This window comes from Homo sapiens, chromosome 1 (assembly GCF_000001405.40).
Source record: "Homo sapiens chromosome 1, GRCh38.p14 Primary Assembly".
In the NCBI taxonomy this organism is placed as follows: Eukaryota; Metazoa; Chordata; class Mammalia; order Primates; family Hominidae; genus Homo; species Homo sapiens.
The window spans coordinates 22,889,765-22,911,695 of record NC_000001.11 but is presented as its reverse complement, the minus strand read 5'-3'; the positions used below and the strand labels follow the sequence as shown (position 1 = coordinate 22,911,695).

Here is a 21,931-nt window from a genome sequence, read left to right as displayed (position 1 = left end):
CTCTGAAACCCTGTGGGGTTGTGGGTCCTGAGGAGTAAGTGTGTGCAGGGGCAGCAGTGTGACCTGTGACAGCCACCCAAGGAAGGCAGAGGAGAGCTGCTGCCTCATGGAGCCTGCCCTGGGAGGCTTGAGCCTTGAGGAGAAGGGAGGCACCAGGTCCCCAAGTGAACACCCCTCAGGCTGAGCCCGTCTCTCAGGCATGGGGATGCTGACTCAGTGTGGGGGCACAGATGGGTGTATGGTGAGTACAAACTTCTGAATGGGTGTGTGTGTGCAGGTGCCTATGGATGTGTGTAGGTGTGAGAGCCTGAGACTGTGTGTGTGAAGAGGCATGAGTGTTTGTGCCTAATTGTGTGTTCATCTGTGCATGTAGGACTGGATTTGTGTTAGCATGTGTGTGATGAAGTTATAAATGGAAGTTAGAGGGTCCAGGTTTGAGCGTGAGGGTAGCTAGGAAGGAAACTTAGTGACAGGCATATCTATTCACGAACTAAGATTCTGGATCCTTTGGTAATTATTTATTTATTTATTTATTTATTTATTTATTTATTTTTTTAGATGGAGTTTCACTCTTGCCACTCAGGTTGGAGTGCAGTGGCACGATCTCAGCTCACTGCAACCTCTGCCTCCTGGGTTCAAGCGATTCTCCTGCCTCAGCCTCCTGAGTAGCTGGGATTACAGGTGCACACCACCAGGGGCTGGCTAATTTTTATAAATTTTAGTAGAGAAGGGGTTTCACCATGTTGGCCAGGCTAGTCTTGAACTCCTGTCCTCAGGCGATCCACCCACTTCAGCCTCCCAAAGTGCTGGGATTACAGGCGTGAGCCATCTCTCCCGGCCTTCCTTTGGTAATTTTTCTTCATTGTCCTCTCTGACCATGCTTTAAAAGATGCCTCCTCTGCACCCACAGGGTATATGTCCTTTTCTTCCTCTGGGCAGTCTGCGTCCTCTGCTCTCCTGCACCCCTAAGGCAGGGCAGGTACCCAATAAACACTAGTCCTGTCCTTCCCCATCCCAAGCTGCAGTAAGGAAGAGCATTTGCCTGAAGTGGGGGCAGAAGGGATGGGAGACGGGAAGAGGGGCAGGGCCTGGCTGGGGCAGGGCCAGGGTGGGGCCTTACCCAGAGGAGAGGGGCGCCATGGCTTTGAGGCTGTTGGGATTGCGGATCATCTTGTCTAGCGTGTTGACAATTTGGCCGAACTTGGGCCGGTGGTTGCGGTCCTTCTGCCAACAGTCCAGCATGAGTTGGTGCAGGGCGCTCGGGCAGTCCATGGGCGGTGGCAGCCGATAGTCCTGCTCAATGGCATTGATTACCTGGGACAATGCAGGAGTGCAGTGGGGTTGGGTGGATGGGCTGAGGGCGTCTACCCTCTGCCAGGCCCATCTTACCCCCAGTACATTGCACGTCTGACCTATTTAGTTGCTGTGGCAACCACTTTCACCTCCTGGAGGCAGCCCCAGGGATGGGATGACCTGGGTTTCCACCATCTAGACCCTCAATCTGACATGGCAGCTGGGTTCCTGCCCCACCCTTTGCCAATCTTGGGAAATCCAGTGCCCTGAGATAGCTTCTCCCCAGGGTCCACCAAGATGATCCTCCTGTGCCTGGTTCCACCAGCTCCTCCCATCCTGTGAGCCCCCTCTTGGCTTGGATGACCCCAAGGCCTCCCCAGTCTGCCTCCTTGCTTGACCCCACATGGCCACATGCTTGATTTTAGTGCCATTTACAGCTCCAGGTGTGAGATACCTCCCTCTATCAGGCCCACACCATGGCCTCAAGCCTGGCTGGGGCTCCCTCCCACCATCTCCACCTGCTTCTCTGTCAAGGAAATGCATCCAAACACCCCTCTCAGCCTGTCCTGCCACCATGGCCAGATTCACCTTCCACAGCTCAACTGTGGGTCACCCTCCCTGTGTAAGAAGTTTCTTCGAGTCCTTCCTGTCTTCATTTTTGCTAATGGAGATCCCTTGGTTTGGCTTCAACCCCGCATTAGCCAACCCCAGCCTTTGCACACACTGTTCTTTCCCACTGGAAGCCCTCAAGTCTCCATGTCCTGCGACCTTTCGAACCCCACTTGTCCTGCGATCACTTCCTGGCTGATCTTGCCCATGCTGCCGGTGCCTCAGTGCCTCCAGGCTACTCTGATTTAGCACCTGATCGTAAAAGCTCCTGATCATAACATCTGGTTCCCTGAATAATCGTCTTGTCCCCCAGTTAGGTGGTGAACACCTGAAGGGCAGATGTGGTCTCATTTGGGGCTGGCCACAGGTGCATGCGTCCTGAAGACGTGCTGATGTGTGGATGGGTGGCCTTTCCTACTTCCTACCCCCTGGAGAGTCCAGAGTCCTGTGCAGACATTCGAATCAGCCACCATTGGGCTGGCAGCTGCCCTGGGAGCCAGGCCCATGATCTCAGAAGCCTATGTCCCACACTCTGGGAGACTGGCACAAGGCCAGGAGCCCCGATCTTCCCTCTCCCATCTGGTGGGCCAGAGAGGCCTTGCCTATCCCCTTGGAGACTTACATCCTGGTTGGTCATGTCCCAGTAGGGCCGCTCCCCATAGGACATCACCTCCCACATGACAATGCCGTAGCTCCACACATCACTGGCCGAGGTGAACTTCCGGTACTGGATGGCTTCCGGGGCTGTCCAGCGGATGGGGATCTTTCCGCCCTGGGAGACAGAAAGAGGAGGGTTTGTGGGTGGGAGGCTGGCCTGTCTGACCTCTTCTCTTAATCCTCCCACCCTGTGCCCTGTGATGCCCCAATCTCATGAGGCACCTCATTGTGCCCCAAACTTACCATGCAGCTTCAGACCACTGGGCATTTGCGCCCTCTGCATGAAGTGCCTTTTCCCACTCTGCCATCTGGAAACCTCCTTCTCATCCTCAAGTCCCTCCAAAAGCCTTTCTGAGCTCCCAAAGAATTGTCAGCTGCCCTCAATCCCACAGCTGTGCCTTATGTCTCCCCATCAAGGAGGCATGTCTCACATGGCACAGTACTCAAGTGACTTGCCTACTTGCACCCATCTCTGGGCTCTTTGTCCTTTCAGTTTAAACCTTCAACAACCCTTGCTGCTTTCAGGAGAGAGTCCTGAACCTGGGCATTCCAGGAGCTCCAAGGTCCAGCCCTGTCTACCTCTCCAGCGTGACTGCTCACTACCACTGCCCCTACAGCCTGTATTCCTGTCACAGGACTTTGCCATGAGAACATGGCATCTGACAAACGTTTCCGGGCCCTTCTGCTCTCAGCTCAGATATCAACCTCTCTAGCAAGCCTTCCTCTGCCTCCAAGGCTGGCTGTCCTGGCTTACAGCCCTGTCACTCCACATGGCTCTGCACATTTGTTCCCCACCAGTGTGGGAATTGCAAGAGGGCAGGAGCTGTGGTTCCTGTCTTCCTGTCTCCAGGGCCCAGGACAGTGCTTGGCCCAATTGGGCGTTAGTGAAAGTGTCTTGCAGGGAGAGATGGACACTCATGCCCTCTTCTCTGGCTCTGTGACTCCGGTGTTCCCTGCCTCCATCTTACCAGGGCACTGGTGTAGGTGGGGTCTGAGGTATCGTCCTCTAGAAAGCGTGAGAGCCCAAAGTCCGACACCTTGCAGACCAGGTTGCTGTTGACGAGGATGTTGCGGGCAGCCAGGTCACGGTGAACATAGTTCATGTCTGCCAGGTACTTCATGCCAGCTGCGATGCCCCGAAGCATGCCCACCAGCTGGATGACTGTGAACTGCCCATCGTTTTGCTTTGGGAGAAGTGGGGAAAACACAGAGTAAACAGAAGAGCAGGCATCAGAGCTCTGCATCATCCTCATAATGGGAAACCAGAGCAGGGCCCTGCCAGCCTGGCTCTGGGCTCCCCTGGGGAAGGACTCAGATGCTTTGGGACCCCAGAGAGGCCCGTCAGAGGCCAACTTCAGAGTGGTGGTGAGAACACAGGCTTTGAAGCAGACACGCTTGGTTTGACTCTGGCTTTGTTCCTTCTCGGCTGTGCAACCTTGGACATGTGACCTAATACCTCTGAGTCTCAGTTTCCTCATCTGTGTGTTAAATGGGCCTAAATCACACCCATCCCCCAGGGCTATTCTGGGTTATACAAGAAGGTGTATGGAAGGTGCCTGGCACATGTTAGGTGCTTCACAAATATTTACTGAATGGCAGCTGGTCCACTGGCCTGCTTCTGATGTCCAGTCTGGTGCTTTGTCTGGTTGGTTGACTTGGTCTCCTGGGAGGCCTATACACTTTCCTCTGTTGGCCTTGTGCTCTGAACTCCTCCCACCAGCCTATAGAGCTTTGGAGAACTCCAAAATCTGGTGAAAACCTGGATGAGAGGTCAAGACACTTGGTTCCAGTCCAGGCCTCATCTTGACCCTCTGGGTGACTCTGGGCAAATCCTACCTCTCTTTGAGCCCGTTTTCTCCTGTGCATAATGAGAAGGCTGGCTAAGAGCAGGAATGGAAACAGATTTCAGATGTGTGCCAACTCTGATCAACTGATTGTGGCTTCCTGGGGAACCATACTGAGAAGAATTCTGGGACTGCCTCTGGGCTTAGTGGATGAGAGTGCTGGGATTGATTAGCAGTGCCTGCCATGGATAAGGGAATGGAAAGTGACAGCCTGCAAGCCATTCCTGACCTAGAGCTTTTCCAAGACCCCTTCAGGCTCTGACAGTATGAAGCTATGTCCATCGTTCCTTTTCCTGCCCCATTCATGGGCCCCTGGCCCTCTTGGCTTCCCCTACCCGGAGAAAGGAGTCCAGGGAGCCATTCTCCATGAACTCGGTGATGATCATCACAGGTGTGCTCTTGGTCACGACACCCTCCAGGTGGATGACGTTGGGATGGTCGAACTGGCCCATGATGGAGGCTTCGCTCAGGAAGTCCCGGCGCTGCTTCTCCGTGTAGCCCGACTTGAGCGTCTTGATGGCCACAAAGATCTCTCTCTTGCCTGGCAGCTTCAGGTGGCCACTGCAGACCTCGCCAAACTCCCCTGAGAGAGAAACACCAAGACAGACAGGATGTCACTTGCCAGGTGGAAGGGCCACCTTCCTGTTCCCTGTCATGTCCACTCACGGGGCCTGCAGGTACATTTTCTTCTCAATGGCCCACTCATCCTTGCAGACACAGAACCCCTTCAAGAATGTCAGGGGTCCAGAAAAGTTCCAGTCACCTCTGGGAGAGGACAGTAAATTCCTCATGGTTGTTCTCTGGTTATCCCTGGCTGGGCATGGGGGTGAGGGTGCAGGGGAACCTGGGAGATGGGAAAAGGCACTGGGATACATGGGGGGAGGAAGGAAAAGCACTGGACCAAGAGTCCAGAGAACTGGGCTCCAGACCCAGCTCAATCTCTGACTCACTGTGCATGTCCCCTCCCAGCCCTGTGCCTCAGTTTCCTCTTTTGTCAGTGAGGTGGTTTTACTGGATGACCTTTGAGGGCCCTTCTTTCATGGTCATTCTGAACCTTCAGGCCTTGGGGGGTCCTTTGAGGCGCCTGTCCCACATCCTACCTTCTGCCCCAAGGGTATACATTGGGGTGGTCTCACCAGCCATGGCTAAGGTCATAGTACATGTGAGAGTACCAGCCACCTACCTGCTCCGATCACCTGCTCAATTTTGACACAGGAGATGTCAATTTCCTTGGCAAACTCCCGCACTGCCTCGTTGGGGTCCTCGTAGGTGAAAGGATCGATGTAGATCTTCATGCCTGGGGTCACTGGGGGACAAGACCAGGCTCTGTCATATGGACTGACTCAAGATGCACACAAAAAGGAAAAGCGGGAGCCAGTCCCTCCGTGGAGGGAAATCCACTCCCATGTGGCCCCCATAAGAACTGGGCAACTCCCTGCAGGTCACTTGACCTCTCTGGGGCTTACTGAGCAGATGGGCGTGAACTGAGTAGGAGGTGAGGGGAACAGAGACCAGCAGGGGTGGCAGATAGGTCTTAGCTCTTGTTCCAACTCTCACTGATCAACAGTGGTTTTCTGGAGCAGCTGAGACTGTCAGGACTGATAAGCAATGTCTGGTATGGGCATGGGCACAGATGGATAAACGGATCGATAGGTGATACAGAATCAAGGGGTGCAACGTAAACGAAGAAGGGGGCAAAAAGGAAGGGAGCGAATTGGAACTAAAATACAGAAACAGCAGGCAATAGACCGTGTTGTCTTTGGGGTTCTGCTAAGGAGAGCTCCTCCTTGTCTCTCCAGGCCTAATTCAAGCCTCCTCTTCCCCCAGGGTCCCTTTCTAGCTGCCCAGCCTTCCCAAATGGGCCCCCAGAGCCTTGAGGGGCCGCCCCACTCACCAGGGACTGAGTGTCCACAGCTGCTGGGCCACCTCCCAGGTCCCCCTCTAGCCAAGTCTTAACCCCTTCTGGATCCCTGATTTTCTGGTAATCAGCATGAAGCTAGACATGGGGCATTTGATTCCTGATCTGATGCATATTTTAGTTTTATTATTATTATTATTTTTTGTTCTCCCTCTCTTCTGTCCAACACTTATTTTTTTATGCACTAAGAGAAGAAGGTAACCTGGATGTCAAAGACCCAATTCTGAACAGCCAGCACTGAGTCGGCAAAATGCTTTGAAAGAAGGGAAAGATGACCCATCCATCTTCCGCCTCCCAGATAGGCAGCTGGTCTTCCAACATCCAGACCTCCCAGTCCTCCCTGAGCCCAGGCTTTCCTCTGGCTCTTCCAGCATCCTGCTCACATTCTCCTGCCACTCCGGGAGCTGCAAATTTGGAGGCAGAAGTTCTAGGAGTTGGCAGTTGAAATCCTTGGGTCACCATAAGGCTTGGCTGGTTGGTGCGTGAGGCCATCAACCCTGCTCAGCTGTGTGACCTTGGACATATGAGTTGACCACTCTTGGCCTCTATTTTAGACATTCCAGGAATCTAGGCATTAGAGCATGTAATATAGGGGTTGGCGAATTGGCTTATAGCCTATTTTGTAAATAAAGTATTATTGGAACACAACCATGCTCATTCCTTTGCCTGTGGCTGTTATTAAGCTATGACAGCAGAGTTGGGTAGTTACAAGAGAGACCCATAAGGCCTAAAATATTTACTATCTGTTCCCTTACAGAAAAATTTGTCAACCGCTGCTCTAACACGTTAGCTTTATTTGGGATTATTTGTGTGGGTATTTGTTTAACCCTTGAGGTCAGGGTTTCTTAATTTGGGTCTGTGAGCTACTTAGCAGTCCTAAGTATGAGCAGTAGGAGATCTGGTAACCTCCTGAGATGGGATGCATTTATTATGATTGTCCTTTTCTATTCAAAAAGTAATTCATGCTGCTTCTAAAGTCCAAAAGTTATGGAAATAAATATTGTCAAAAATAAAAGTTCTCAAAAAATCCAACCTTGAGTATAGACCTCTGGATTTTTTTTAATTAATTTTTTTTTTTTTTTGAGACAGGTTCTTGCTCTGTCACCCAGGCTGGAGTGCAGTGGCACAATCTCAGCTCACTGCAACCTCCGCCTCCAGGGTTCAAGTGATTCTCCCACCTTAGCCTTCCAAGTAGTTGGGATTACAGCCATGTGCCACAACACTCAGCTTATTTTTTGTATTTTTCATAGAGTTTTAATAGGTTTTGCCATGTTGGCCAGGCTGGTCTCTAACTCCTGACCTCAAATGATCCACTTGCCTCGGCCTCCCGAAGTGCTGGGATTACAGGCATGAGCCACCGCGCCTGGCCTGACCTCTGGACTTTTAATAATTTTATACATGTATATGTTTTTCTGGCCATAGGCTCCAAAACTTTCAGCAGAGTCTCCCAGGAGTCTGAGGCCCCCAAAGAGGTTAAGAACCACCATCCAAGACTGTGAGTGCCTGGGAGGAGGAAATGGACACATGTTTTTTTTCTGATTTCTCCCTCCCCTGGCACACGCATAAAGCTCTGCACACAGCAGACACTCAATGTCTATAGGGCTGAGCAGAATCCAAATGACACAGACAGAATCATAATAGCAGCTGTCACTTACTGAGCCCTTTGTGCCCAACACCATGCCAGGCTCTTTATATGCCTTAGCTTCTCCACTCAAAAACTCTTGGAGGAAAGGACCATTATTCCCATTTCACACATAAGGAAATTGTGGCTCTGAGAAGCTAAGTCATCTGGCCAAGGCCACACAGCTAGCAAATGGCACAGCCAGGATTTGAAGCCAGGTCTGTTAGACTTGAGCCTGGGGCCAGTACTCCTAATCACCATGTTCACTGCCTCCTGGATGAAATACAACCAGAATCTGGTCCATGCTGCCTGCTGGAGTATTCCGCCATGATCACCTCTTTCCCCATCAGCCTTCTCAGAGCCAGGGCATCGGCTTCCTGGGGATGCTCTCTTGCTTGCTCAGACTCAATGCATGCCCTGTGGTTCTTGACAACTGGCTTTCAGCCTCCCTCCCAACATGACTCAGGGAGGCCCTTTCTGATGGGGATAGAGGACAGGAATGGGTTGACTCAGGGAGGTAAGAGGAAGTACAGCAGCTCAAACCCTCCTTGGTCACCTCCACTGCCAAGCAACTGGATGCCATCGTCATGCTGTGGCCAGCAGCACTGGTCAAGAGGGCCTCTGTTGCTTGCAGGACAAAGCTGCATGCCCCTGCCTGGCATTCCCAGCTCTCCGTGGATTGGCCTCACTTCCAGCTCCCTGCTCCCTAGATGCCTGCTCACAGGACTTATTGACCCAGGGGTTTCAGACACACTTCATTATTTCCTGCCTCCATGCTTTTGTTCATGTTGTGCTCTCTACCTGGAACACTCTCTCTTTCTTTTTGTGACCAGATCAAATGCCATCCCCTCTGTGAAGACTGCCTGGATTGCTCCAGTGGAGACCTGTACCCTCTCCTCAGGCTCCCACAGTCCTGAGTCCACACCCACTCTTATGATCTTGATGTCTGTGTGGCTTTTCTACCTTGTACCGGGGTTCCCAGATACTCATGCCCACAGCCCCCTGACACTCCTTTCTGGAAGACTCTGCTGCCCGTGAGGGCTTAGTTTACCCTTTTCCCCAGGAAGACCGAGGCTGTGTCTGTCTTGTTCATGCTGAATCCCAGGGCCTGGCACACAGTGGGTGCCCAATAAGTAAAAAGTGCTTATTGAACACATAATAGCATTACTACGTGTCTTGAATGTCTTTGAGAATTTGATGAAAATTATGAATCTGCTCCTTGGAAAAGTATTCCTGTGTGTGTATGCTCCCATATTTCACATATAATTTTGGGGTATTGGAAGCTCTAGGGGTCTTTAGACCCAAAGCTATAAGCCCTTGCTTTAGAATGTTGGCTCTGGAGTACTTATGTGAAGGTGGTATACAGTAGATGCTTAGTAAACACTTATTGAATATACATTCAGCGTAGATTTACTGGGTGCCAGGCCTTGTTCTAGGCACTTTATAGTTTTTAATCCAATTAATCCTCCTAACAACCCTACCAGGTAAGTGCCATTATTAGGCTGATACCTTATGAAACTGTCAATATTTAACTGTTTCTGACCTACAAAAATAGCAATTTCATTTGGTACAATCACATGTGATGCCTGTTTTTCAGACGAGGAAATTGGCATAAGAAAGGTTAAATGAGTTGGACACTGTGGCTCAAGCCCATAATCCCAGCCCTTTGGGAGGCTGAGGCAGGAGGATTGCCTGAACCCAGAAGTTCAAGACCAGCCTGGGTAACATGGCAGAAACCCATCTCTACAAAAAATAAATAAGTTAGCCAGGCATGGCAGTGCAGGCTTGTGATCCCAGCTACCTGGGAGGCTGAGGCAGGAGGATTGCTTGAGTCCAGGAGGTAGAGGCTGCAGTAAGCCGTGTTTGTGCCACTGCACTCCAGTGTGGTGACAAAGTGAGACCCTGTTACACACACACACACACACACACACACTCACACACACACACACGAAGTTAAATGACATCAAAACAGCTAATAAATGGCAGAAGTGGGGTTTGAACCCAGGCCGGCTACAGAGTCTCCACTTGTAACCCTCAGGCTGCCAATTTCTCCCAGGTGCTTCCCCAGTCTGTCTCTTGGAATAGAAGGTGAGTGAGTGCCTGGTGGCCAGAGCCTCCAACAAGCCTGGCTCTCAGAAGGGGCACTTGCTGAACCGAGGTCGGGTGAGGACCTCTGCAGGCAAAGGCTACAGAAAATCCTGGGCTGTTGTTTGGATGATTTACGGGTGTCGGCCACTGGCTGTTGCTCTGCCCTCAAATGCGAAATTCACAAGGAGGGAAGAGGAACCAGTGTACAGAGTTCTGGGTCTGAATTCTGGCACCGCTGCTAATTCTGGTCACAAATCAGCTGCTTTGTGAGTTTGAAGCCAGGATCAACCACTGTGTTGATCCAGCAGTGTGCCCTTGGGCAAGTTACTTAACCTCTGTGTCTCACTTTTTTCACCTACCCGATGGGTATAATAAACAATACCTACCTCCTAAGGGGGTTGCAAGATTAAACGAGAGTATCTTTTTAAAGGGCTCAGTACAGTAGTTGGCAAAAGGAAAGTGCTGAATAATTGTAAACTGTTGCAAAGAAGAGCTGGCTATTATTAAATATTATTCCAAAGCACTTTAATGTCCCTTAATTCATTTAATCCTCACAATTCTGTGACAAAAGTATCATTCTTGCTACTTCCCATATAAAGATGTCAAGGCTCAGAGAGGTTTGATGGCTTCCCCGAGGTCACCCAGCTGGCCAGTGGCAGAATAGGGATGAAAACCAGGTCAGTCCCTCTGGCTCCATATCCAGGCATCACAGACCTTGGTACTCACTCAGCACCTGCTGAATGATGGAAACCATGGGGCCGTGTGGGTGATTACAGGCCAGTCACATGGATCTCTGGGCCTCAGCTTCCTCCTCTGTCCTGACCACGCAGGGTGGCTGGGTGGATATGGGATCACAGGGCTGGCAGTGCTTTGAACAGAACAAAGTTCTGCTTGGATCTAACGTTAGAGCTTAGGATGCAGGGAGGGGGATCTTAGGCCTTAAAATGTGCTGATCTAGGAACAAACCCTGGGGTCTCTCTTAAAAATAGACCCCACCTGTTTCCTTATTACTGACTCACAAACCACATAGCAATGCTCCCCAGTGGCTCCAGGAGACGGAGCATGGGAGCCTATCCCATTCCAGCTCAGCAGAATGGAGCCAGCACAGGATGCCAGCTCTTCAGCCAGACAGCTGGAGTTCATACCCCTGCTCCATCCCTGAGCAGCTGTGCAACCTCTGTGCCTCAGTTTCCCCCTATTCAAAGTGAGAAATTATAAGGATCAAATGAATAAATACATGTAAAGCATTGAAACAATTCTTGGCACACAGAATGCACGCAGTACGTCTAGCCACATCTATGATCACGATTTCATTACTTGGGGCAATAAGAGGGGATGACATAATTTATAATCTTTCTTTTTCTTTTTTTTGTTTGAGGAGTCTTGCTCTGTTCCCCAGGCTGGAGTGCAGTGACGTGATCTCAGCTCACTGCAACCTTCGCCTCCCAGGTTCAAGCAATTCTCCTGCCTCAGCCTCCTGAGTAGCTGGGATTACAGGCGTGCACCACCACACCCAGCTAATTTTTGTATTTTTAGTAGAGACGGGGTTTTACCATGTTGGCCAGGCTGGTCTTGAATTCCTGACCTCAGGTAATCCACCCGCCTTGGCCTCCTAAAGTGCTGGGATTACAGGCGTGAGCTACCGCACCCGGCCTTATTTTTCATTTTTCTTGGGACAGGGTCTCACTCTGTCACCCAGGCTGGAGTGCAGTGGTGAGACCATGGTTCACTGCAGCCTTGACCTCCTGGGCTTGAATGATCCTCTCACCTCAGCCTCCTGAGTAGCTTGGGACTACAGGTGTGTGCCACCATGCCTGGCTAATTTTTACATTTTTTGTAGATATGGGGTTTTGCTATGTTGCCCAGGCTGGTCTCGAACTCCTGGACTCAAGTGATCCTCCCACCTCAGCCTCCCAAAGTGCTGGGAATACAGGCATGAACCATGGCACCTGGCCTATGACCTTTATTTTTAATGTACAGGTGACTTTTATTTCTGTGTAGTTAAATGTGTCCATCTTTTTCTTAGGAGTTATCAATTGCTTTCATGTTTAGAAGGTCCTTTTCTATTTCTGTATTGGTTAATAGTTGCCTAAATTATCTTCTGGAAATTTTAATGGCTTAACTAGTTTTACATATATGCCCCAAACTATTTTTCTTTTTTTTTGAGATGGAGTTTCACTCTTGTTGCCTAGGCTGGAGTGCAATGGCATGATCTCGGCTCACTGCAACCTTCACCTCCCGGGTTCAAGGGATTCTCCTGCCTCAGCCTCTGAAGTAGCTGGGATTACAGGCACACACCACCACGCCAGGCTAATTTTCTATTTTTAGTAGAGATGGGGTTTCACCATGTTGGTAGGGCTGGTCTTGAACTCCCGACCTCAGGTGATCCGCTCATCTTGGCCTCCCAAAGTTCTAGGATTATAGGGGTGAGCCACTGCGCCTGGCCCCAAACTATTTTTTTTTTTTTTTTTTGAGATGGCGTTTTGTACTTGCTGCCCAGGCTGGAGTGCAATGGCACAATCTCGGCTCACCACAATCTCTGCCTCCCGGGTTCAAGCAATTCTCCTGCCTCAGCCTCCCGAGTGGCTGGGATTACAGGCATGCACCACCACACCCGGCTAATTTTGTATTTTCAGTAGAGACGGGGTTTCTCTGTGTTGGTCAGGCTGGTCTTGAACTCCCGACCTTGGCCTCCTAAAGTGTTGGGATTACAGGCGTGAGCCACCGTGCCTGGCCAGCCCCAAACTATTTTTAAGCCCAGGAACTTTTACTTCAAACCATGTCTTACCCAGAGGCTTCGTACCTGGAGCTCCTAGACTCTGCTCATTCTTACGTATCCACATCCAGTCCTGCAGCAAATCTAGTGGCTCTGCTTTTGAAATATGTCAGAATCCAACCACTTCCCACTACCTTCTCCCTGCCACTCGGTCTGGCCACCATCATGTCTTCCCTGGATTCTTCCAACAGCCACCCCACTGGTCTCCTTGCATCAGCCCCGTTGGTCCATTCTCCAGACAGCAGCCAGAGAAGTCCCGCCAAGGCCGTAACTTGGAGCATGTCATCCCTCTGCTCAGAACCTTCCAGCAGCTCCCCATTTCACTCAGGGAAAAGCCAAGGCTTTGCTGAGCCTGATGAGCATCTGCACGTTGGACTCCCTCAAAGCTTCCATTTCTCTCTTTGCTCTGCTCCAGTCACACTGGCCTCTGCTGTTCCCGAAACCTGCCAGGAAGCTCCAGCCTCAAGACCTTTGTATTGGCTGTTCCCTCTTCCTGGAATGCTTTTCCCTCAGATACCTCTGAGCAGCTCACTCTCTCAGCTCCTCTGTATCTTTGTGCAAGTCAAACCCTGTCAGTGAGGCCAACCCAAGCTGTCCTATTTAAAAACGCCACCCTGATCCCCACAACTCTCGGTCCGTTACTGTTCCACTTTGTCTTTTTCCTATAGCACTTTCATCTTCAAATATACCACACGCTTCTGCATTTATGACATGTATTTCTCTTTTCTTTCTTTCTTTTCTTCTTTTTTCTTTTGTTTTTTTTTTTTTTTTGAGACTGGGTCTTGCTCTGTCACCCAGGCTGGACTGCAGTGGTGCGATCTGGGCTCACTGCAACCTCGGCTCACTGCAACCTCCGCCTCCTGGGCTTAAGCTATTCTCCCACCTCAACCTCCCAAGTAGCTGGAACTACAGACGTACATGACCACACCCAGCTAATTTTTGAACTTTTTTTGGTAGAGACAGGGTTTCATCATGTTTCCCAGGCTGGTCTTGAACTTCTGTGTTCAAGTGATCCACCTGCCTTGGCATCCCAAAGTGGTGGGATTACAGGCGTGAGCCACTGTGCCTGGCCTTATATGTTTATTTATTTATTTTTTTATTTTGAGACAGAGTCTTGCTCTGTCACCCAGGCTGGAGTGCAGTGGCACGATCTCTGCTCACTGCAACCTCTGCTTCCCGGGTTCAAGCAATTTACCTGCCTCAGCCTCCTGAGTAGCTGGGATTACAGGCACACACCACCATGCCTGGCTAAATTTTGTATTTTTAGTAGAGACAGCATTTCTCCATGTTGGCAAGGCTGGTCTCAACTCCTGGCCTCAAGTGATCTGCCTGCCTCAGCCTCCCAAAGTGCTGGGATTACAGGTGTGAGCTACTGTGCCTGGCCTTATGACCAGGTGCTGGGATCCCCAGCACCTAGAACAGTGCCTGGCATATGTGGTAGGCCCACGACAGTTGTGTGACAAGGGCAGGGATATGATGATGGGCCTCTGTACCCAGAGGCAGGCACCTGAGGAACCTCAGGGCGTCACACTGAGTACAGTTTGAGAATGAATGTTGGACCCATTTAGAACTCCTTTTTGCTGAGTGAGCTGAAGTAAGGACTAAGGTTCTTGCTCTCCCCCGACTCCCTGATTACTGGTTCTGCCCAGGTCAAGTGGAGAGAGGAATCTATGATCTACTTTTCTCTCTGGCCCTTCAGGAGGGGACATCTCTGTGTGTGTGGCACATACATCCCCAGCCCTGGCCTGATATAGGATGGGACGGTGGGAGAAATGAGGGCACTGGGTAAGGGGAAGAGGCCACCAGAGGAGTCACTGGGGAAGAACAGGGGTCTGGAGCCACAGAGTGAGAGGAAGAGAAGGAAGGAGGGACTCCTGCTGCTTTTCTCACCTCCTGGGCCAGAGCCCAGAGTCCTCATCATCTTATTTATTCAGTTTGATTCATTTATTTATTCTGCAAATATGTCTAGTGCCTACTATGTGCTGGGCACCACGCTGGTGCTGGGGAGACACGGTAAATATCAGACACAATTCCAGGTCTCCAGCGGCCACCACTATCACGGTGGTGAGACAAGAAACAGCCACCTCAATGCAGCCTGCGAGCACAGATGCAGCCCCTAAACCCAGGATGGGGTGGGGTCGGGGAAGGCTGCTTGGAGGAGTGTGTGTATGGTGAGGCCTGAGGGATGAGTAAGAGCTACATGGGTAAAGGGAAAGGGGGAGAGCGCTTGAGGCAGAGGGAACCGCACTTGCAAAGGCCTAGAGGTGAGAGTGAGCTTAGTGCAACCAGGCAACCACTTGACATTGTCTGCCTGCAGCATGGCAGAAGGAGGTCAAAGATGGCTTAAGAGGTCACTGGGGAACCGACAGTGAAGGGCCCAAGGGTTCCAGCCCGCTTGGGTGTGTACATACTGTGGCCACTGGTGTAGTGTTGCAGCTTGTCCGTGTACTCCGAGTCAGCACGCTCAAACCCCCGTCTTCTGGAACAAGAGCAAAGGGCTGGAGCCACCTGAAGGCGCCCAGGGAGCTGGGAGCCACAGTAGGTGATAGGGAGAGGGTGGGCAGGCCCTAGAAGCCACACCCCTGCCAGAGGGCTCCCTGCCTGCCCCTTTTGGCCCCACTTGTCCCTTCCCACTCCTCCCACCTCAAGTCCAGGTTCTCATCTTCCCCAGTTCCTCCCCCTCCAGCCAAGCCCCCTTCAAAAAGTAAAGTCATCTTCCAGCCACGGCTTCTGGCCCCAGAAACCCCAGGGGCTTCTGTCCACCTGAACTTATGGTTCAGTCTATTCTGAAATGGGGAACTCTTTAAAGAAGAAGAGAATCTTTCTTTGCATTATACCCAGCAGAAGTCAAGGAACTGGCCCCACCCTCTTGCCTTTGCTTGTACCGTCCTAGCCACTTGGGAGGTCCCTCCCCCCTCCTCCTCCTAAGTCCTCCCTGTCTTTCCAGCACCTCAGCCAGGGGGCCTGAACTCATGCAGAAAGCAGGACAATCTGTATACCCCTTCCACCACCCACTAAACTCCTAGCATCCTGCAATCTTTCTTGCCCACTGCATTAGTGTCTCAATGTGCCACCTCTTTCAATAGTGGGCTTGTCAGGGGCGATGCCTATCCCAAAGGGATGGATTGCACATGGTGGCCGCTTAGGTAGTGGGAAGCCACTTGAAGCCTTCCACTTCCTACCCACATCTCTCCCTGCAATTGTGAGAATGCCTCCTCGGTTCACCAGCACTGTAGAGGGATGACTGAATAGAGAGAGAGAAGCCATCTGGGACAGCCAGGCCTGGCCAAGCCTGGAGACCCCACCCACCTGTTACACACGATGGCGATGACAACCACAGCAATGAGGAAGACCAGGCCAGCGGCCGAGGAGCCGATGATGAGTGGCAACTTCTCCTGGATGCTTGTCTGGTACTCGGCTGGGGAGAAAGCATGGTAGGGCATTCTCAGCCTGGCTGTGGGAGTCGTAATACCCTTGTCCCCTACCCCCTGCCATGCTGCTGGGTCTCCTGGGATCCCTAGACTCTGTTCCTGCCCCTGACAGAGCACCTGTTACATGCCCATGCAGAAAAGGGGCTGTCACTGTCTCACAAGTAACCCTGGACAAGTCCATGAACTGCTCCAATCCTCAACTTCTCATCCATAAAATGGGCATAATTCCTGCATCTCAATGTTGATGTGAAAACCAACAATAATAACAGCTGACACACACACAGGCAGTTAAAAGCGCAGACTCTGGAGACAGACTCTCCGGGTTTGACTCCCGATGGTGCCACTTACTATCTGTGTGATAGTAAGGCAAAGTGACTTAGTAAGGCAAAGTGACTGTGTGATAAGGCAAAGTGACTTACCTCTTTGTGCCTCAGTTGCCTTATCTGTAAAATGGGGAGAATAATATTTCCTATCTCAGGATTGTTGGGTAAAGCACTTAGAACAACACCTGGCACCTAAGCAAGCATTCAATCAATATTAACTATTCTTGTCCCTGAGTGTTTTATGTGTCACTCACTGTGCTAAGTATGTTACGTATCTCGGAACAGTCCTATGATTACCCCATTTTACAGATGAAGAAACTGGGCTTAGTGAGGTCATGATGTGCCTGAGGTCACAAAGAAAGTAGCACCCCAGCCAGGCATTTGAACCCAGGTCTGCTTGATCCAAGGGTGGGAGTTGAATTGGAAGAATGCAGAAGATACACTTGGCATTAGCCTGGCTCTTGGAAACCACCACTCAATGCCATTAACACTATCATTGATTTACATTTTATTATTTTTACTTCTTTTTTTTTTTTTTGGAGTGGGAGTTTCACTCTTGTCACTAGGCTGGAGTGAAATGGCACGATCTCGGCTCACTGCAACCTCTGCTTCCCGGGTTCAAGCGATTCTCCTGTCTCAGTCTCTCCAGCAGCTGTGACTACAGGTGCCTGCCATCACGCCCAGCTGATTTTGTAGTTTTAGTAGAGATGAGGTTTCACCATGTTGGCCAGGCTGGTCTCGAACTCCTGACCTCAGGTGATCCACCCGCCTTGGCTTCCCATAGTGCTGGGATTACAGGTGTGAGCCACCGCGCCTAGCTATTTTTACTTCTCAACTGTCTCACTGACCAGAACAGGAACTTGCTGAGATCAGGGACGCGCTCTGGGACCTTAGTGCCCACACTTGGCCTGGTAAGTGGCAAGGCCTCAGCCACATTTGTTGAATTAATAAAAGGATCTTGGGACAGTCTCCTAGTTCCCAGTCAATGACACTCACCCAACATGGAAAAAGGCTTAGAGAGGTGAAAAAAGCTGCCACGAGGAACAGAAAGATTACAGAGGAGGTGAGTGCTGGAAGAGATGGTAGAGCCATAGGGAGGATTTTTGTGATAAGGCAAGAATTTAGGAGTCCAGGAGCCTCTGAAATGTTCAACCAGGCAAAGGCCAAGGCACGCCTAGTGGTTAGAACAGATACTAAGAGAGGATGCTGGAATCTGGTCAGACAGAGTCACCCTGGAGTTTGACTGGCTGGTAAAAGGGATTCCAGACACACAGCAATGACAAACTATGACTTATCTACAATCTGGTGAGTGCTGAAATGCTTGGGACTTAGTGCCAACCCTGTGCTAGGTCTCTTATTCTTACACTAGTTTGATAATGATAGTGATAATGAGATCATTGTTATCACCCCCATTTATAAATGAGAAAGCTGAGGGTTGGAGAGGTAAGGTGACTTGTTCAGGCACATACAGTTAGGGCTAAATCAGAAATGGAATCCTCATTTCTTTGGCTTCAGAGCCCACATTCTTTAAACTGTGCTGCTTCTAAAGATTATTAGAGCAGGAATGGTGCTTAGAGACCATGTAGTTCCAGAGTGGGAAACGTAGCACACAGGTTACGATCTCCCATTCCCTTGCCTGGAGCAGACAGTACTAATCTATCCCAGAACTTCTTCCTGCTGAACTCGGATGCAGCTTCAGAATCCTTCTCAGTCCAGTTGTAAGTCACTGGAGTTGTGTATGGATAAAATATGCTTACTTTCTCAGATTGAATGTGATGCTTTCATTTTATAGATGAGAAAAAATTGGACCAAGGAATGCATGACTTGCTCAGAGTGGCTCTGGAAGTTAGGGCTGAGCTCCCCAGAGTCCTGGGAAAGGAAGTGGCCTGGCTGACACAACGGGAACAGAAACAGGGCTTTTATATATGGTTGTGCACAAAGGTTCGAAATTAGGAGGGAGGGAGGGCTGACATCTAGAAGGGAGTGCCTTTTCTAATCTGCACAAAGGTGCTTCATGAGAATGGTGACCCTTGAGTTTGTTCTGTTTGTGGAGTCTGTGCCCTCCTCTTGCCCGCTGGACTCTGCTCACCTTCTGTCATGGTCTGGAAGTACATCTTGCCGCTGTAGCGCCCGTAACCTGCCACGGTGCGTGCCCGCACCTGGAAGACATAGATGGCGCCGGCTTTGAGGCCCTGCACGGTGACCGTGTTGGTGGGGCTTTTTATGGCTGTGGCGTTGTACTCACTGAGCTCCTGCCGAGGAACAGAGAAGAAAATTAGTGAGGTTGTGGCTCATAGTGGGTCCAGAGCCCACTGCCTGCTCCTGCCACATTGGGGGCAGGTCTGGCCATTGGATAAACATCTATGGTTCCCAATTCTTCATCCCCTCCCTTTAATAGAATTATGCCTTTTGCCATGTTACTTTTCAACACTGCCCACAAAGGTAGGCAGAGTATATGTCTCTGTCTTATGGATGTTGAATTTGTCCACATGACTTGTGTTGGCCACTGGAACATTCTAGTGGACATGATGCAAGCAGAGGCTTTACAGATCCCTGCCAATTTGTCTTGGCCTCTTGTGCTTCTGCCATGAGAGGAACTTGCACTGGGTAACCACTGGCTCCAGCATGAGAAACAGGAGGAGACCATGACCCAACTCTTAGGATGAAACAGGGCCACCCCTATTGACCCACAGACATAAACCCATGGTCAAGAAAAATAGCCACTTGTTGGAAGGTGTTGGATTTTTGGAATTGTTTGTTTTGCAGTGTTATCTCAGGAAAAGCTGACTAATATGCATGTATTGAGTGGTTCCTATGTGCAGATCCTGAGGACTATACTGTGAGTTCTTGGAGACCGAAGGGAGAAGGCCCACCTCATTCACTTCTGTATCCCCTTCCCTGCCCTATGCCTTGATGAGTTAAGCGTAAGAGCCCTTGTTCAGCCTCAGCACACTTGGGTGAGTCAAGAACTAAGGTCCAGATGGGAAAATGATGCTCAGGGTCACTATCAGTTCAGGGTTGCTTTGAGATTCAAAACCAGGCTGGATACGGTGGCTCACACCTGTAATCCCAGAACTCTGGGAGACCAGGGTGGGAGGATCACTTGAGCCCAGTAGTTTGAGACCAGTCTGGGCAACATACCAAGACCCTTTCTCTAAAAAAAAAAAAAAAAAATTAGCTGGGCATGGAGATACATGCTTGTGGTCCCAGCTACTTGGGAGGCTGAGGTTAAAGGATCACTTGAGCTTGGGAGGTCAAGGCCACAGTAAGCCATGATTATGCCACTGCACTGTAGCCTGGGCAACAGAGCAAAACCCTATCTAAAAAAATACAACAACAACAAAAAAAAAAGAAACCAGACTCTTGCATGGAGCCACCTCTATCTAATGTCCATGCCTTTGGGTACCCCAAACCTAGTGTCTTCTCCTTTGAGAGATGAAGAACACCAATTTTGGCTTCCTGAATGTTACCCAGGGCGATCCAAGGAATCTAGGACAGGACAAAGATCCAGCTGCTGCAGTGGGAGTGGAGATGTGGTTGGATCAGATACAGATGATGCTCGTTTAGGCATCTGTCAGCCGCCCGGCAAAACTTCCCCAAATATCCTCTTTGCACTAGGCTGGGACTGGGGTTCTACAGGGAGCTAAGGCACAGGCCCTGGCCTTGGAGAGCTCAGTCCAGAAAAGTAAGCATGTGAGGATCCCAACCCTTTGAAGATCATGAAGCTCCTGAGACAATTTTTTTCTGACGAAAATCTGTGAATGCTTATCCAGAAAAACACACACCTAGTTGTACATGCCAGTCACACACACATCACAGAGTGCACGGAGCCCTTGAAAACCTTCCCAAAACAATGAAGATTCAGTGCGTGCAATGTTATTACAGGCTTTATAGCATGGAGGTTAAGATCACAAGCTGGAGCCAGACTTCTTGGGTTCAAATCCTGGCTCTAGTATATATGACCTCTGTGACCTTGGGCAAGTTCCTTAACTTCTCTGTGTCTTCATCTGTAAAAGGGGGATAGTAACAGTAGCTACCTCAGAGTTTGTTCAGATAATAAAATGAATCAATAGGTATAACAGGCTCACACTGATAGGGTAAGCACATACCGAGGGACATGTGACCTGGTCTGGGACGGGGGCTGCATTAGTCCCTTCTCATGCTGCTATACACACATACCCAAGACTAGGTAATTTATAAAGGAAAGAAGTGAAATTGACCCACAGTTCCTCATGCCTGGGGAGGCCTCAGGAAACTTACAACCATGGCAGAAGAAGAAGCAAACACATACTTCTTCACATGGTGGCAGGAGAGAGAAGTGCCGAGCAAAGGGGGAAAAGCCCCTTATAAAACCATCAGATCTTGTGCAAACTCACTCACTATCATGAGAAAAGCATGGGGGTAACCACCCCCGTGATTCAATTACCTCCTACTAGGTCCCTCTCACAACAGGTGGGGATTATGGGAACTTCAATTCAAGATGAGATTTGGGCGGGGACACAGCCAAACCATATCAGGGGCTACCAGGTGAAGTCAGGAAAGCTCCCTCGTGAGTGGGGGTCACTGGAATGGGATCTCAAAGAACAAACAGGAACCACCCAGACAAAGATGTGCATGCCTGGCAGAAGGGGCAGCAGGTTCAGAGGAAAGGAGAGGAGAAAAAGCTTGGGATGTAGGGGATATGAAGGGGGCTGACTTGAAGATGTGTCTCTACCACCCCCATAACAGGGGGAGGCAGGGATAGCTGGGTGGGGCAGCAGCAGAGAGGAAGTCTCTTTTGCCAAGCCAGATCATCTGCCTCCTCCTCCAGGAAGCCTCCTTGACATCCCAGCCAGATGCACCTCTTCCTTCTCAGTCCCAGAGCACTTGCTGTGGGTGCCACAGGAGGGGGTTTCTGCTATGCCCCCTCAACTTCCAGCTGAGGCTCCTCTCGCCCCCTTAACTCTAAGCCCATGAGGGAGGGCTTGTGTTTGTTCCCCTGTACCAAGTTTGGGGTCCCTCACACAAAGTCCTTCTCCAGTGCCCACAGGGTGAAGGCCGACTCCTTAGCCTGGCATTCCAGACCCTTCATGACCCACCATTTTGCAGTCTCTCCTGCAACATCCCTAATGTTTCCTAGGTTCCTGCCATCCCTAACTCTTTCCCCCTTCCTTGGTAGAGCTGCCAGATTTAGCAAACACAAATATAGGATGCTGCTCAGTCAAATTTAAATTTCAGATGAACAACAAATACATTTTGGTATAAGTACGCCCCGTGCAATATTTGGGACATATTTGTACTAAAACATTTATTTTTAAAAAATTCAAATGTAATCATGTGTCTTCTATTTTATCTAGCAACTCTACCTTCCATGGACACTCTTGAGTTTTTG

General features: G+C 50.3%; 1 protein-coding gene across 7 annotated transcripts in view; it reads right to left on the bottom strand.

Moving 5' to 3' along the window:
* EPHB2 (EPH receptor B2) overlaps positions 1-21,931 on the bottom strand; it is a 210,663-nt gene that overhangs the window by 9,805 nt on the left and 178,927 nt on the right. For 2 of the 7 annotated variants that reach the window (NM_004442.7, XM_006710441.5), the window contains 8 exon segments: positions 1,121-1,314; positions 2,525-2,674; positions 3,528-3,743; positions 4,739-4,986; positions 5,587-5,709; positions 15,218-15,285; positions 16,116-16,224; positions 18,650-18,812. In NM_004442.7, coding sequence (NP_004433.2) covers positions 1,121-1,314; positions 2,525-2,674; positions 3,528-3,743; positions 4,739-4,986; positions 5,587-5,709; positions 15,218-15,285; positions 16,116-16,224; positions 18,650-18,812 — 1,271 coding nt within the window. 7 annotated transcript variants of the gene reach the window in all.